Raw genomic sequence first — 16,319 nt, forward strand, 5'->3', positions numbered from 1 at the left:
TATTCAGCACCCAACAAGGTAAACACCAAAATGACTGACATCCAAGCCAAACTTACCAGGCATGCAAACAAGGAAATATGACCATAAATGAGGAGAAAAATCAATGAAGAGAAACAGGCCCAGACATGACACAAATGACAGAATTCGTAGACAAGCTCATGAAAATAGTTATTATAATACACTGGGTATATCTTCCTCCAAAGCCCATTTCTTGAACTTGTAGGACACCACAGTCTGTTTGCCTTTCCATAATGCTGAAGCCCTGCCTGGGCTCTAAGATAGAATTCATTTACAATGCCTTTATAATGACTAATGTTTTCTCAAACGTGTCCATTCTGGATCCAAGTCAAATTTTCAGTGATGGAAGAATCACACATCACCTTGTGGATTTGAACGGCTCCTCTTCAGTTGTCTCCCACAGACTGCCATAATTTGCCCCAGAATAGAGTCCCTGAGGAAGTTATCATGTGTGAGGTACATTCAGAGCTTAAGGAGGGGCTTGGTGACAGAGTTTCAAAGGAGACAGTTTTATACTTTTCAGAGCTCAAAGGGAAGAACTTGGTGTTTTATAACTGAAAGATCATTTGTGGTTTGAACCTTGCTAGAAATGAAAGTCATTCAACATTGAAGATCACATAGTATATTGCTGATCTATTTGTTCAAATCAGACTTTAAAAAGACCCACTGGCTTTATTTTACAGATAATTTCAAAAATTCTTTTTAACTTATTGAATCCAGTAAACTCAGCTTTAGGTCTTCCATTTCTTATTGGCTTTGGGGAAATTATCATTGATTCCATTATACTGACAGCTTGTTATTTTATTGGTGTATTTGTAATATACCAAGTCCACAGGAAAGGATGAAAAAGCTTACCTCTTTGGTTTTTCTCAGCTCTTCTAATTGCAAGGTGTCACTTTGATGTTGTTTCAAGAGCTCCTAAAAACAATTTTATTGGGAAAAGGTTAGCACTGTGGTTCTGGCACATCTTCTAGGGAGTTAAGAAAGCCAGACTAGGATTCAGGAATATAATATTCACCAAAGCTTAGACACTGCTATAATGAAGCACACATTATAAACTAGTGACATGACTTGTTGAAGTTAATGAAAATCTTAATTATGTTCAACCTTATCTCACTGACAAATATTAAAAGAAATTATATTTTCATCAAAAGCTTTTCTTAAGTCAGTGGATAGATTCAATACTCTTAAGAATTAATCTCGCCACAGATTGATCTTTATATTCAATGAAATCCCAGTCAAAATATCAGCAAACTTCCTTGATAAGCTAATTCTAAATTGACAAGCTAGTTCTAACATTTATGTAAAAATACAAAGCATGTGGAAAGGCAAAATAATCTTGAAAAACAATAGCAAAGCTAGATAACCTTTGCTACCCGATTTCAAACTTCAGTAGTCAAGACAATGTGTTGTTGACCTAAGTATGGAAAAATAGTCAAACAGAACGGAGAGTCCTAACACCCCAAATACAGCAAAGACACTATATTAGTCTGATCTCACATTTCTATGAAGAACTACCTGAGAGACTGGGTAATTTATAAAGAAAAGAGGTTTAGGGGGAGTTTCCAAGATGGCCAAATAGGAACACCTCCAGTCTATAGCTCCCAGCATGAGTGATGCAGAAGACAGGTGATTTCTGCATTTCCAACTGAGGTACCAGGTTCATCTCACTGGGGCTTGTCAGACAGTGGGTGCAGGACAGTGGGTGCAGGCCACGGACCGGGAGCCGAAACAGGGTGGGGCACCGCCTCACCTGGGAAGCGCGAGGGGTCAGATAATTCCCTTTCCTAGCCAAGGGAAGCCGTGACAGACGGCACCTGGAAAATCGGGTCACTCCCACCCTAATACTGTGCTTTTCCAACAGTCTTAGCAAATGGCACACCAGGAGATTATATCCCATGCATGGCTGGGAGGGTCCCACGCCCACGGAGCTTTGCTCACTGCTAGCACAGCAGTCTGAGATTGAATGGCAAGGCAGCAGTGAGGCTGGGGGATGGGCGCCTGCTATTGCTGAAGCTTGAGTAGGTAAACAAAGCGGCTGGAAAGCTCGAATTGGGTGGAGCCCACCACAGCTCAAGGAGGCCTGCCTGCCTCTGTAGATTCCACTTCTGGGGGCAGGGCATAGCTCAACAAAAGGCAGCAGAAACTTCTGCAGACTTAAACATCCCTGTCTGACAGCTTTGAAGAGAGTAGTGGTTCTGCCAGCATGGAGTCTGAGATCTGAGAATGGACAGACTGCCTCCTCAAGTGGGTCCCTGACCCCCGAGAAGCCTAACTGGGAGGCACCGCCCAGTAGGGGCCAACTGACAACTCATACAGCTGGGTGCCCCTCTGAGATGAAGCTTTCAGAGAAACGATCAGGCAGCAACATTTGCTGTTCTGCAGTATCTGCAGTTCTACAGCCTCTCCTGGTGATACCCAGGCAAACAGGGTCTGGAGTGGACCTCCAGCAAACTCCAACAGACCTGCAGCTGAGGGTCCTGACTGTTAGAAGGAAAACTAACAAACAGAAAGGACATCCACACCAAAACCTCATCTGTACATCACCATCATCAAACACCAAAGGTAGATAAAACCACAAAGATGGGGGGAAACCAGAGCAGAATAGCTGAAAATTTTAAAAATCAGAGCGACTCTTCTCCTCCAAAGGAATGCAGCTCCTCACCAGCAATGGAACAAAGCTGGACAGAGAATGAATTGACGAGTTGAGAGAAGAAGGCTTCAGATGATCAGTAATAACAAGCTTCTCCAAGTTAAAGGAGGATGTTCGAACCCATCACAAACAAGCTAAAAACCTTGAAAAAAGATTGGATGAATGACTAACTAGAAAAAACAGTGTAGAGAAGTCCTTAAATGACCTGATGGAGCTGAAAATCATGGCACAAGAACTATGTGATGCACGCACAAGCTTCAGTAGCTGATTCGATCAAGTGGAAGAAAGGGTATCAGTGATTGAAGATCAAATGAATGAAATGAAGCAAGAAGAGAAGTTTAGAGAAAAAAGAGTAAAAAGAAATGAACAAAGCCTCCAAGAAATATGGGACTATGTGAAAAGACCAAATCTACGTCTGATTGGTGTACCTGAAAGTGACAGGGAGAATGGAACCAAGTTGGAAAACACTCTGCAGGATATTATCCAGGAGAACTTCCCCAACCTAGCAAGGCAGGCCAACATTCAAATTCAGGAAATACAGAGAATGCCACAAAGATACTCCTCGAGAAGAGCAACTCCAAGACACATAATTGTCAGATTCACCAAAGTTGAAATGAAGGAAAAAATGTTAAGGGCAGCCAGAGAGAAAGGTTGGGTTACCCACAAAGGGAAGCCCATCAGACTAACAGTGGATCTCTCGGCAGAAACTCTATCTACAAGCCAGAAGAGAGTGGGGGCCAATATTCAACATTCTTAAAGAAAAGAATTTTCAACCCAGGATTTCATATCCAGCTAAACTAAGCTTCATAAGTGAAGGAGACATAAAATCCTTTACAGAGAAGCAAATTCTGAGAGATTTTGTCACCACCAGGCCTGTCTTTCAAGAGCTCCTGAAGGAAGCACTAAACATGGAAAGGAACAACCGGTACCAGCCACTGCAAAAACATGCCAAATTGTAAAGTCCATCAATGCCAGGAAGAAACTGCATCAACTAATGAACAGATAACCAGGTAACATCATATCGAGAGGATCAAATTCACACATAACAATATTAACCTTAAATGTAAATGGGCTAAATGCTCCAATTAAAAGACACAGACTGGCAAATTGGATAGTCAAGACCCACCAGTGTGCTGTATGCAGGAGACCCATCTCACGTGCAGAGACACACAGAGGCTCAAAATAAAAGGATGGAGTAAGATCTAACAAAAAAATGGAAAACAAAAAAAGGCAGGGGTTGCAATCCTAGTCTCTGATAAAACAGACTTTAAACCAGCAAAGATCAAAAGAGACAAAGAAGGCCATTATATAATGGTAAAGGGATCAATTCAACAAGAAGAGCTAACTATCCTAAATACATATGCACCCAATACAGGAGCAGCCAGATTCATAAAGTAAGTCCTTAGAGACCTACAAAGAAACTTAGATTCCCACACAATAATAATGGGAGACTTTAATACCCCACTGTCAACATTAGACAGTTCCACGAGACAGAAAGTTAACAAGGATATCCAGGAATTGAACTCAGCTCTGCACCAAGTGGACCTAATAGACATCTACAGAACTCTCCACCCCAAATCAACAGAATATACATTCTTCTCAGCACCACATCACACGTATTCCAAAATTGACCACATAGTTGGAAGTAAAGCACTCCTCAGCAAATGTAAAAGAACAGAAATCACAACAAACCGTCTCTCAGACCACAGTGCAATCAAACTAGAACTCAGGATTAAGAACTCACTCAAAACAGCACAACTACATGGAAACTGAAAAACCTGCTCCTGAATGACTACTGGGTACATAACAAAATGAAGGCAGAAATAAAGATGTTCTTCGAAACCAATGAGAACAAAGACACAACATACCAGACTCTCTGGGACACATTTAAAGCAGTGTGTAGAGGGAAATTTATAGCACTAAATGCCCACAAGGGAAAGCAGGAAAGATCTAAAATTGACACCCTAACATCACAATTAAAAGAACTAGACAAGCAAGGGCAAACACATTCAAAAGCTAGCAGAAGGCAAGAAATAACTAAGATCAGAGCAGAACTGAAGGAGATAGAGACACAAAAACCCTTCAAAAAATCAATGAATCCAGGAGCTGGTTTTTTGAAAAGATCAACAAAATTGATAGACCGCTAGCAAGACTAATAAAGAAGAAAAGAGAGAAGAATCAAATAGACGCAATAAAAAATGATAAAGGGGATATCACCACCGATCCCACAGAGATACAAACTACCATCAGAGAATACTATAAACAACTCTATGCAAATAAACTAGAAAATCTAGAAGAAATGGATAAATTCCTGGACACATACACCCTCCCAAGACTTAACCAGGAAGAAGTTGAATCCGTGAATAGACCAATAACAGGCTCTGAAATTGAGGCAATAATTAAAAGCCTACCAACCAAAAAAAGTCCAGCACCAGACGGATTCACAGCCGAATTCTACCAGAGGTACAAGGAGGAGCTGGTACCATTCCTTTGAAACTATTGCAATCAATAGAAAAAGAGGGAATCTTCCCTAACTCATTTTATGAGGCCAGCATCATCCTGATACCAAAGCCTGGCAGAGACACAACAAAAAAAGAGAATTTTAGACCAATATCCCTGATGAACATCGATGCAAAAATCCTCAATAAAATACTGGCAAACTGAATCCAGGATCACATCAAAGAGCTTATCCACCATGATCAAGTGGGCTTCATCCCTGGGATGCAAGGCTGGTTCAACATACGCAAATCAATAAACGTAATCCATCATATCAACAGTACCAAAGACAAAAACCACATGATTATCTCAATAGATGCAGAAAAGGCCTTCAACAAAATTCGAAAACCATTCATGCTAAAAACTCTCAATAAATTAGGTATTGATGGGACGTATCTCAAAATAATAAGAGCTACCTATGACAAACCCACAGCCAATATCATACTGAATGGGCAAAAACTGGAAGCATTCCCTTTGAAAACTGGCAAAAGACATGGATGCCTTCTCTCACCACTCCTATTCAACATAGTGTTGGAAGTTCTGGCCAGGGCAATGAGGCAGGAGAAGGAAATAAAGGGTATTCAATTAGGAAAAGAGGAAGTCAAATTGTCCCTGTTTGCAGATGACATGAATTGTATATCTAGAAAACCCCATCATCTCTGCCCAAAATCTCCTTAAGCTGATAAGCAACTTCAGCAAAGTCTCAGGATACAAAATCAATGTGCAAAAATCACAAGCATTCCTATACACCAATAACAGACAAACAGAGAGCCAAATCATGAGTGAACTCCCATTCACAATTGCTTCAAAGAGAATAAAATACCTAGGAATCCAACTTACAAGGGATGTGAAGGACCTCTTCAAGGAGAACTACAAATCACTGCTCAACGAAATAAAAGAGGATGCAAACAAATGGAAGAACATTCCATGCTCATGGATAGGAAGAATCAATATCGTGAAAATGGCCATACTGCCCAAGGTAATTTACAGATTCAATGCCATCCCCATTAAGCTACCAATGACTTTCTTCATAGAATTGGAAAAAACTACTTTTATGGTTCATTTGGAACCATAAAAGAGCCTGTATTGCCAAGACAATCCTAAGCCAAAAGAACAAAGCTGGAGGCATCACACTACCTGACTTCAAACTATACTACAAGGCTACAGTAACCAAAACAGCATGGTACTGGTACCAAAACATAGATATAGACCAATGGAACAGAACAGAGCCCTCAAAAATAATACCACGCATCTACAACAATCTGATCTTTGACAAACCTGACAAAAACAAGAAATGGGGAAAGTACTCCCTATTTAATAAATGGTGCTTGGAAAACTGGCTAGCCATATGTAGAAAGCTGAAACTGGATCCCTTCCTTACATCTTATACAAAAATTAATTCAAGATGGATTAAAGACTTAAATGTCAGACCTAAAACCATAAAAACCCTAGAGGGAAACCTAGGCAATACCATTCAGGACATAGGCATGGGCAAGGACTTCATGTCTAAAACACCAAAAGCAATGGCAACAAAAGCCAAAATTGACAAATGGGATCTAAATAATCTAAAGAGCTTCTGCACAGCGAAAGAAACTACCATCAGAGTGAACATGCAACCTACAGAATGGGAGAAAATTTTTGCAATCTACCCATCTGACAAAGGGCTAATATCCACAATCTACTAAGAACTTAAACAAATTTACAAGAAAAAATCAAACAACCCCATCAACAAGTGGGCGAAGGATATGAACAGACACTTCTCAAAAGAAGACATTTATGCAGCCAACAGACACACGAAAAAATGTTCATCATCACTGGCCATCAGAGAAATGCAAATCAAAACGACAATGAGATGCCATCTCACACCAGTTAGAATGGCGATCATTAAAAAGTCAGGAAACAACAGGTGCTGGAGAGGATGTGGAGAAATAGGAACACTTTTACACTGTTGGTGGGACTGTAAACTAGTTCAACCATTGTGGAAGACAGTGTGGCGATTCCTCAAGGGTCTAGAACTAGAAATCCCATTTGACACAGCCATCCCATTACTGGGTATATACCCAAAGGATTATAAATCATGCTGCTATAAAGACACATGCACACGTATGTTTATTGTGGCACTATTCACAATAGCAAAGACTTGGAACCAACCAAAATGTCCATCAATGATAGACTGGATTAAGAAAATGTGGCACATATACACCATGGAATACTATGCAGCCATAATAATGGATGAGCTCATGTCCTTTGTAGGGACATGGATGAAGTTGGAAACCAACATTCTGAGCAAACTATTGCAAGGACAGAAAACCAAACACCGTGTGTTCTCATTCGTAGGTAGGAAATGAACAATGAGAACACTTGGACACAGGTTGGGGAACACCACACACCAGGGCCAGTTGTGGGGTGGGGGGAGGGGGGAAGGATAGCATTAGGAGATATACTTAATGTAAATGATGAGTTAATGGGTGCAGCACACCAACATGGCACATGTATACATATTTAACACACTGGCACGTTGTGCACATGTACCCTGGAACTTAAAGTATAATAAATTAAAAAAAGAATAAAAAAAAAAAGAAAGAAAAGAGGTTTAATTGGCTCACATTTCTGCAAGCATGGCTGGGGAGGCCTCAGGAAACTTACAATCATGGCAGAAGGTAAAGAGGAAGGAGGCCTGTCTTACATAGCTGGAACAAAAGAAAGAGAGAGAAGGGGGAGGTGCTACAACCTGATCTTTTGAGAGCTCACTCACTATCACGAGAACAGAAAGGGGGAGAATCTGTCCCCATCATCCAATCACCTCCCACCAGACCCCCTTCTCCAACATTGGAGATTACAATTTGACATGAGATTTGGGCAGGGACACAAATCTAAACTGTATCAAACACTAAGGCAACTCAATGGGGAAAGGAAAGTATTTTTAAAGAATGATGCTGGGACAACTGAATATCCATAAGACAAAAATGACCCATGACTCTTACACTTCACTTCATACACAAAAATTATTCAAAATAGATCAGAGAATCATAGAAGCTAAAATTTTAAAGCTTCTAAAAAATAGAATATCTTCATGACCTTGGAATAGGCAATGATTTTATAGAGAGGACACAAAAATCTGTAACCATAAAAGTAAAAAAATGATCATTGCCTTTCATCAAAATTTAAAGCTTCTGTATATCGAAATATATCATTAATAAAATGAAGAGGCAAACCACAGGCTGACAGACAATATTTACAACATGTATATCTGGCAAAAAAAACTTGTATCCACAATATAAAAGTACTCCTACATATCAAAAATAAAAATGTAAGCACCTCCTACTTTTTCAAATGGGAAAAGACTTGAACAGGCACTTTATGGAAGAACATATATGAATGGACCAATAAGCATATGAGAAAATGCCCAACATAATTAGTCATCAGGGAAACTAAAACCATAATGAAGTACCACTTCATGCCCACTGGAATGGCCAAAATTAAAGGACTAGCAAAACTAATTGTTGTGGAGGATATACAGCAACTAGAATTCCAATATATCTAAGATGCAAGAAAAAAATGGTACAACTACTTTGGAAAATAAGTTTTGGCAAGTTCCCATAAAGTTAAACCTGTACCTGCCCTAGCGCCCAGTAATAGCACTACAGCTATAACAGCTACAGTGAGGAATGAAAAGGATATTCAGAGATGGGATTTTGGCAAAATAAGGAATTTCAGTTTCTGCATGTTTAGCATTCTGTTATTTCCAGTTAATTAAAATTTTTGTTCTAAGAACCCTTTGATAAGACTGTCTAGCCTGTGGGAAGATTGCCCAGCTAAAGGACAGCAAGACTGTCAGTCTATTTGCATACATTTCCAGAAAGCTGGGAGAGGAGGATTATGCCCAGAAAGACAAAAAGATCACCTAATTATGGAGGCACACCTGGGGACTTGGGTGTACCACCTGGACTACCCATTCAATCACCAAGGTGCTTTGGGCTGAGTTACCTCCTTCTCTTGAATGAAGTTCTCAAAGACAGCACTGCAGGATTCATTTATTTTCTTATCTTCTTCTCCTGACTCCATTTCGAATTTTTTGGTCATCTTTTTTTCTGTGGAAGTGACAGGAAAGCACATATATGTGTAAAGATGGGAAAAGCAGGTGCAATGAGAAACCCAGAATATCTAAAGATAAAAGCAATTCCAGACTGTGTCAGACTCAAGGTCATTGCAGCCTGGTGTTTGGCCTCTGACACTCACCTGAAGGTGCTTGAGGGTGAGGTGAGCACGGTGGTTGTCCTCAATCACATTAGTCATATGGGATTTACCACCAACATCTCTGGTTCTTTTGTGTGTAGTTTATTTTGAATCTGTTGCTTTTTATTTTGTCCATTCCCTCTGCTGATGTAACCACTATGCTATCATGGATATCCTTATCTTAAAATAAAGCTCTTGGCTAACATTACTTTGCCAGCAATAAAATTCATCCTGTACTTAGTGCTGGGGTAGAGGTAGGCTTCAGCTCTTTTCCTGGGCAGGAAACCTGCCAGTAGAGCCCCATTATCAAACAAGAGGAAGGAGGGGTGGAGGGAAACACAGATTTCAGTGTTGCAATTCTGGGGATGGACAGGGAGTCTCTGGTCTGACAGCGTAAGCCTCTGACTGAGCTGGATGGTGAGCAGCTGAATTCTGGTCTTCCAAAACTGGCGGTTACATCTTTACTTAGACTTTAGCAACATGGGATGAGAGTCGTATGAGTAGCTAGAATCTGGGATATGACTTGGGTTCTATTGCACTAGAATTCTAGGTAAAGCCCCAGACAGGAGCAGCTCCCCCTCCCGTTCCCCAGCCTTAACTCCGGGGTCTTCATATTACCTTCTGGCAGTCCAGAGTGCCCACCAGAATGTGAATTAATTTTCCCATGGAGTATCTGCATTTAAATGAGTAATTTGTTAAAATCAACTAAATCTGAAATAAATGTGGTTGGCGTGGAATGCGGAATAGGTCTGTAGAGGTCCCACTCCTACCTCAACTAGTCTTCTAGGCCTGGAGTAGTCTCTACAAATTCTCTTCTTTTTTCCTTTTATGAACAAGTCCAATGGGGGTGGGAGGTGCACCTATAGAATACTTTGTATGGTGCAAGCTCTGTGTTAATTGTTGGAAATATTAAAAATATTTACCAAGTGTGACTTCCTTCTGGAAGACGTGGGAATATAGAAGCTCTCAGTATAATGGATTGTGTTGTTCCTATCTGCCCCCTGCCCACATGCAAGTGAACATTTCACATTCTAACTAAAGAACTCTTGGAACTTTGGGTTCATCTGTTTCTAGATAATAAGTCTGCACTCCCTACAGGGATTCTAACATTTGTTCCAGCCATCATGGGCAAACTTGGACCAAATGAGTTTCAGAAGGTACAGGCTTAGACTCTCTTAGATCAGATGCCTGAACTTCAAAAAAGACCCTACCCTTGTTGTCATTTTGCTTTCATGAAAACTCTGGGCACCTTCCATTCAGGTATCTAGCATGTGGCCCATCACCCTTGGTAAGCCCAAGGCCACCTTCCTCAAGTCAAGACCAAACTTCATGGCAGTTTTTTAATGCACTTGTCATCAAAAAAGCTAGAGTTTCTGTACTCACTTTGCTGTAGCAGGATATTTTCTCGCTCGAACTTCTCATCCTTCTTCCATTTCGCCTTCTGTTTTGACCACTTCTCTTCCATTTCATCATAAATACTGTCCTGGGGAGGTACAAAGGCACCATGAAGAAAAGAGTCCTAAAATGAAGGTGACCTGGAGAGGCTGTAAAACTCAACTCAGGGAGGACTCCTCTTGGCATTGCACAGTGGCCAGGGCCCATCACCATGTTCTGTGCATCTTCCCTTACCTGGGGCCCTCACTGAGTGGGTCCTCCATGGGTGACTGGTGAGAAGTAAATTCCAGCCCAGCCCAACAGAGAGCTTATGGAACCCAAAGGTCAAGGGCAAACTATGCACAGTGTTTGCCCCACTAGAACTGAGCTTCCTTTGAAGAAAGGTAGAGTTCTCCATGTTGAAGGATCATATGTTAGCTCCCCCTAAATCACAAATCCCTCTTCAATAGCACAAGAAGAAAGGAGGCCGGGCGCAGTGGCTCACACCTGTAATCCCAGCACTTTGGGAGGTGGAGGCAGGCAGATCACAAGGTCAAGAGGTCAAGACCATCCTGGCCAACATGGTGAAACCCCATCTCTACTAAAAATACAAAAATTAGCTGGGCGTGGTGGCACACACCTGTAGTCCCAGCTACTTGGGAGGCTGAGGCAGGAGACTCGCTTGAACCTAGAAGGCAGAGGTTGCAGTGAGCCGAGATCACGCCACTGCACTCCAGCCTGGTGACAGAGTGAGACTCTGTCTCAAAAAAAAAAAAAAAAAAAAAAGAAGAAGAAAGGAAATACCTAGTAGTTAATTTGAACACTTAGAAAATAAGGGGATGTTTTTCAGAGAATGTCCACTTTTTCTCAGCAAATCTAACTTTCTTTTGTGGTTGAGGTTAAATAAGCCTAATCTAATACCAATACTGTTGCTTGGCTCAGATTTCATGAACATGGAATCCTAGGAGGGGGAAGGCCCTGGACCTGGATGACACTAGTAGGGTCCAAGGACGCTGACTGCCTTATTTTTCAGGTTAGCAGAAGGATTCACACCCGACCTATTCTATTTACCACTCACACGTCTTAGGCTCTGTTCTATGATGTTTTCCCTGAATATACCAAGGAGTATCTTAAAAAAATGAGTTTTAGACACAGGCTCAAAACTGAAATTGTAAGTGGTAAATAGAACTTTAGAGGTGGTACTGGTGTTTAACTTTTGATAGAGCGACCAAGTGTCCTTGTCTGCCTGACACTTAGGGGTTTCCTGGGACTCTGGACTCTCAGTGCTAAAACCTGGAAAGTCTCAGGCCAACTAGAACTAGTTGGTCACTATACTTCACAATTAAACAGGATGAAGGCTTGAGGCTTCAGTCCTTTCCCGCCCCACTAGCCATCTCTTAACTCTCTTCATCTACCTAGTAAGAATCATGCCCTAACTTTGTTTTCCTGGGCCTTCATCAAATGAGCTGATTAAATGGATGGGTTTTATTCTGAGATGACGGGAGCACTCCATGCTTTGCTTGTGGCAGTGCAGAGTGATACATTCTTTTTGGATGGCAATTTGGCCATATATATTAAAGGCCTTAAAAATGTTCATTCCAAAACAAGAACTAACCCCAAAGCTAGGAGAAGAAAAGAAATAACTAAAATCAGAACAGAACTGAATGGAATCAAAATTCAAAAACCCATACAAAGAATCAATGAAACAAAAAGTTGGATCTTTGAAAGGAAATGCAAGACCGATAGAGTGCTAGCTACATTAGCAAAGAAAAAAACGACGATCCAAATAAGCACATTTAGAAAGGACAAAGGTGACATTACAACTAATCCCACAGAAATATAAAAGAACCTCAGAGATCATTATGAACATCTGTATGCATACAAACAAGAAAATCTAGAGGAAATGGATAAATTCCTGGAAACACAACCTCCAAAGATTGAATCAAGAAGCAATTGAAACCCCAAATAGACAATATTGAGTTTTGAAATTGATTCAGTAATAAAATAATCTAACACTAAAAAAAAAAAAAAATCCTGGGACCAGAAAGATTCACAGCCAAATTCTACCAAAAGTACAGAGAAGAACTGGTACCAATTCTACTGAAACTATTCCAAAAAAATGAGGAGGAGGGACTCCTCCCTAACTTATTCTATGAAGCTGGCATTATCCTTATACCAAAACCTGGCAAAGACAAAAAAGAAACTACAGGCCAATATCCCTATGAACATAGACTGAAAAAAATGCTCAACAAAATACTTGCAAATTGAATCCAGCTACACATGAAAAAGTTAATTCATGGCCAGGCACGGTGGCTCATACCTGTTATCCCAGCACTATGGGAGGTTGAGTCAGGAGAATTGCTTGAGCCCAGGAGTTTAAGCAACATGATATGAGACCCCACATCTACAGAAAAAATAAAAAATTAGCTAGGTGTAGTGGTCCCAGCTATTTAGGAGGCTGAGGTGTGAGGATCACTCCAGCCCAGGAGGTTGAGGCTTCAATGAGCTGTGATTGTGCTGCTGCACTCCAGCCCAGGTGACAGAATGAGACACTGACTCAAAAAAAAAAAAAAAAAAGTTAATTCACCATGATCAAGTAGGCTTCATTCTCACAATGCAAGGTTGGTTCAACATACGTGAATCCATAAATGTGATTCACCACATAAACAGAATTAGAAAGAAAACCCATATGATCATCTCAATAGACATGGAAAAAGCCTTTGATAAAATCCAACATCCCTTCATGATAAAAACTCTCAGCAAATTAGGTTATCAAAGGAACTTACTTCAAAATAATAAGAGCCATCTATGACAAACCCACAGCCAAAATCCTACTGAATGGGCAAAAGCTGGAAGCATTACCCTTGAGAACTAGCACAAGACAAGGATGCCCACTCTCACCTCTCTTATTCAACATAGCACTGGAAGTACTAGCCAGAGCCATTAGGCAAGAGAAAGAAATAAAAGGCATCCAAATAGGAAAAGAAGAAGTCAAATTTTTCTGTTCACTGATAACATAATTGCATACCTAGAAAACTTTAAAGAATCTGCCAAAAGGCTCCTGGAACTGATAAACAAGTTCAGTAAAGTTTCAGGATACAAAATCAATGTACAAAAAATAAGTAGCATTTCTATACACCAATAATGTCCAAGGTGAGAGCCAAATCAATAACGTAATCCCATTCACTATAGACACAAAAAGAATAAAATCCCTAAAAATATAGCTAACCAAGGAGGTAAAAGGAGAACTATAAATTGCTGCTGAAAGAAATCAGAGACAACACAAACAAATGGAAAAACATTCCATGCTCATGGATTAGAAGAGTCAATATCATTAAGATGGCCACACTACTTAAAGCAATTAAGAGATTAAATGCTATTCCTGTCAAACTACCAACATCATTTTTCACAGAATTAGAAAAAAATTATTGTAAAATTCATATGGAACCAAAAAAGAGTCTAAATAGCCAAAGCAATCCTAAGCAAAAAGAACAAAGCTGGAGGCATCTCATTACCTGACTTCAAAATATACTACTAATATAAGGCTACAGAGATGGTGGACGGGAAGCAGGACTAGACTGCAGCTCCCACTCGGATGGACAGAGCAGCATGTGGAGTCTTGCATCGTGAACTTTTGCTCCAGAACTACTGCAGGAATAATTCAGGAAAGCCAAGAGAATCCACAGACCCTCTGAAGGAAGTGGATTGCTCCCGTAGGACCCGGGAGATGCCCCAAATACTGTGAGTGCCCAAACTGTGGAAGTAGGAAAGGGGGATTGTCCACCTTCAAACACACAACCTCACTGGGGAACCTGAAGGTCTAGATCATGGGAGAAGATTCTGACCTTACCTGGAGCTGAGTCAATTTAGAGAACCAAGTGAAATATAGGGGTAAAGGAAGTAGCAGGAAAAGCCCTGTGGGCTCTCTGGGTTCCCAGGGATGCCATTTCTGACTTGTCTCACAGGGCTACCTGGGGAGGACTGCCAGAGGAACTCAGAAAACATCACAGGGAGAAGGAAAACTCCAGCTGAATTTTCTAACAATTCCAACTGAATAGGAAATCTCCTGGCCAGAACTTGGGGGAAGGCATGAATCTGGTGTGCAGACTCCACAGGCAGGGAAGCACAAAAGCACTACTTGCTTTTGCAGCTGGGAGGCTGGTAGCCTGGGGCAAGTTCTCAGTCCTGTTTGCCCACTGCCTGGAAACAGACTTGGTACTACTGGGTTGGGGGCATGGTGGGAGTGAGATTGATCTTCTGGGTTTCGTGGGAGCTGGGTGAGGTCTGTGACTGCCAGTTTACCCCTACTTCCCTGACAACCTGCACGACACAGCAGAAGTAGCCATAATCCTCCTGGGAACATAATTCCATTTACCTGGGAACCACACCTCCATCCCCACAGCAGCTGCAGCAAGACTCGCCCAAGAAGAGTCTGAGCTCAGACACGCCTAGCCCTGCCCCAACCTGATGGTCCTTTCCTACTCACCCTGGTAGCTGAAGACAAAGGGCATATACTCTTGGGAGTTCTAGGGCCCCACCCACCGCCTGATCCTCCCCATACTACCACAGCTGATGCTGTCTTGAAAGCATCATCTCCTGGCAGGAGGCCAACCAGCACAAAAATAGTGCATTAAATGACCAAAACTAAGGACCCTCACAGAGTCCATCTCACTCCCCTGCTACCTCTACCAGAGCAGGTACTGGTATCCACAGCTGAGAGACCCACAGATGGTTCACATCACAGGACTCTGTGCAGACAACCCCCAATACCAGCCTGGAACCTGGTAGGACTGCTGGATGTCTAGATCCTAAAAAGAGATAACAATCACTACAGCTTGGGCTCTCAGGAAGGCACATCCCTAGGAAAAGGGGGAGAGTACTACATCAAGAGAACACGCCATAGGACAAAAGAATCTGAACAACAGCCTTGAGCCCTAGATCTTCCCTCTGACAGAACCTACCCAAATGAGAAGGAACAAGAAAACCAACTCTGGTAATATGAAAAAACAAGGTTCTTTAACATCCCCCACAAAATCACACTAGCTTACCAGATGTGGATCTAAACCAAGAAGAAACCCCTGATCTACCTGACAAAGAACTCATCAAGGAAGCAACAGAGAAAGGCAAAGCCCAATTTAAGGAAATTTAAAAAAAAATGATACAAGAAATGAGGGGAGAAATCTTCAATGAAATAACATAAATAAAAAACAAAACTTCAGGAAACAATGGACACACTTATAGAAATGCAAAATGCTCTGGTACGTCTCAGCAATAGAATTGAGCAAGCACAAGAAAGAACTCAGAGCCTGAAGACAAGGTTTTTGAATTAACCCAATCCAACAAAGACAAAGAAAAAAGAATAAGAAAATATGAACAAAGCCTCCAAGGAGTCTGGGATGTTAAACAACCAAATGTAAAAATAATTGGTGTTCCTGAGGAAGAAGAGAAATCTAAAAGTTTGGAAACACATTTGTGCAATAATTGAGGGAAACTTCCCCACCCTTGCTAGAGACCTAGATATCCAAATACAAGAAGCTCAAAG

The 16,319-nt window shown here is 41.2% G+C and overlaps 1 protein-coding gene across 12 annotated transcripts in view; it reads right to left on the minus strand.

Moving 5' to 3' along the window:
• FLACC1 (flagellum associated containing coiled-coil domains 1) overlaps positions 1–16,319 on the minus strand; it is a 76,019-nt gene that overhangs the window by 10,094 nt on the left and 49,606 nt on the right. For all 12 annotated transcript variants that reach the window (NR_110620.2, XM_024452696.2, XM_047443393.1 and 9 more), the window contains 3 exons: positions 10,787–10,886; positions 9,155–9,258; positions 874–936 (listed from right to left, as the gene is read on the minus strand). Coding sequence is in view for 11 of the 12 variants with exons in the window: in XM_024452696.2 (XP_024308464.1) it covers positions 874–936; positions 9,155–9,258; positions 10,787–10,886 (267 nt within the window). In the remaining variant the exon portion in view is untranslated. The remainder of the gene's footprint in view (positions 1–873; positions 937–9,154; positions 9,259–10,786; positions 10,887–16,319) is intronic.

Source organism: Homo sapiens, chromosome 2, assembly GCF_000001405.40.
Source record: "Homo sapiens chromosome 2, GRCh38.p14 Primary Assembly".
Classification (NCBI taxonomy): Eukaryota; Metazoa; Chordata; class Mammalia; order Primates; family Hominidae; genus Homo; species Homo sapiens.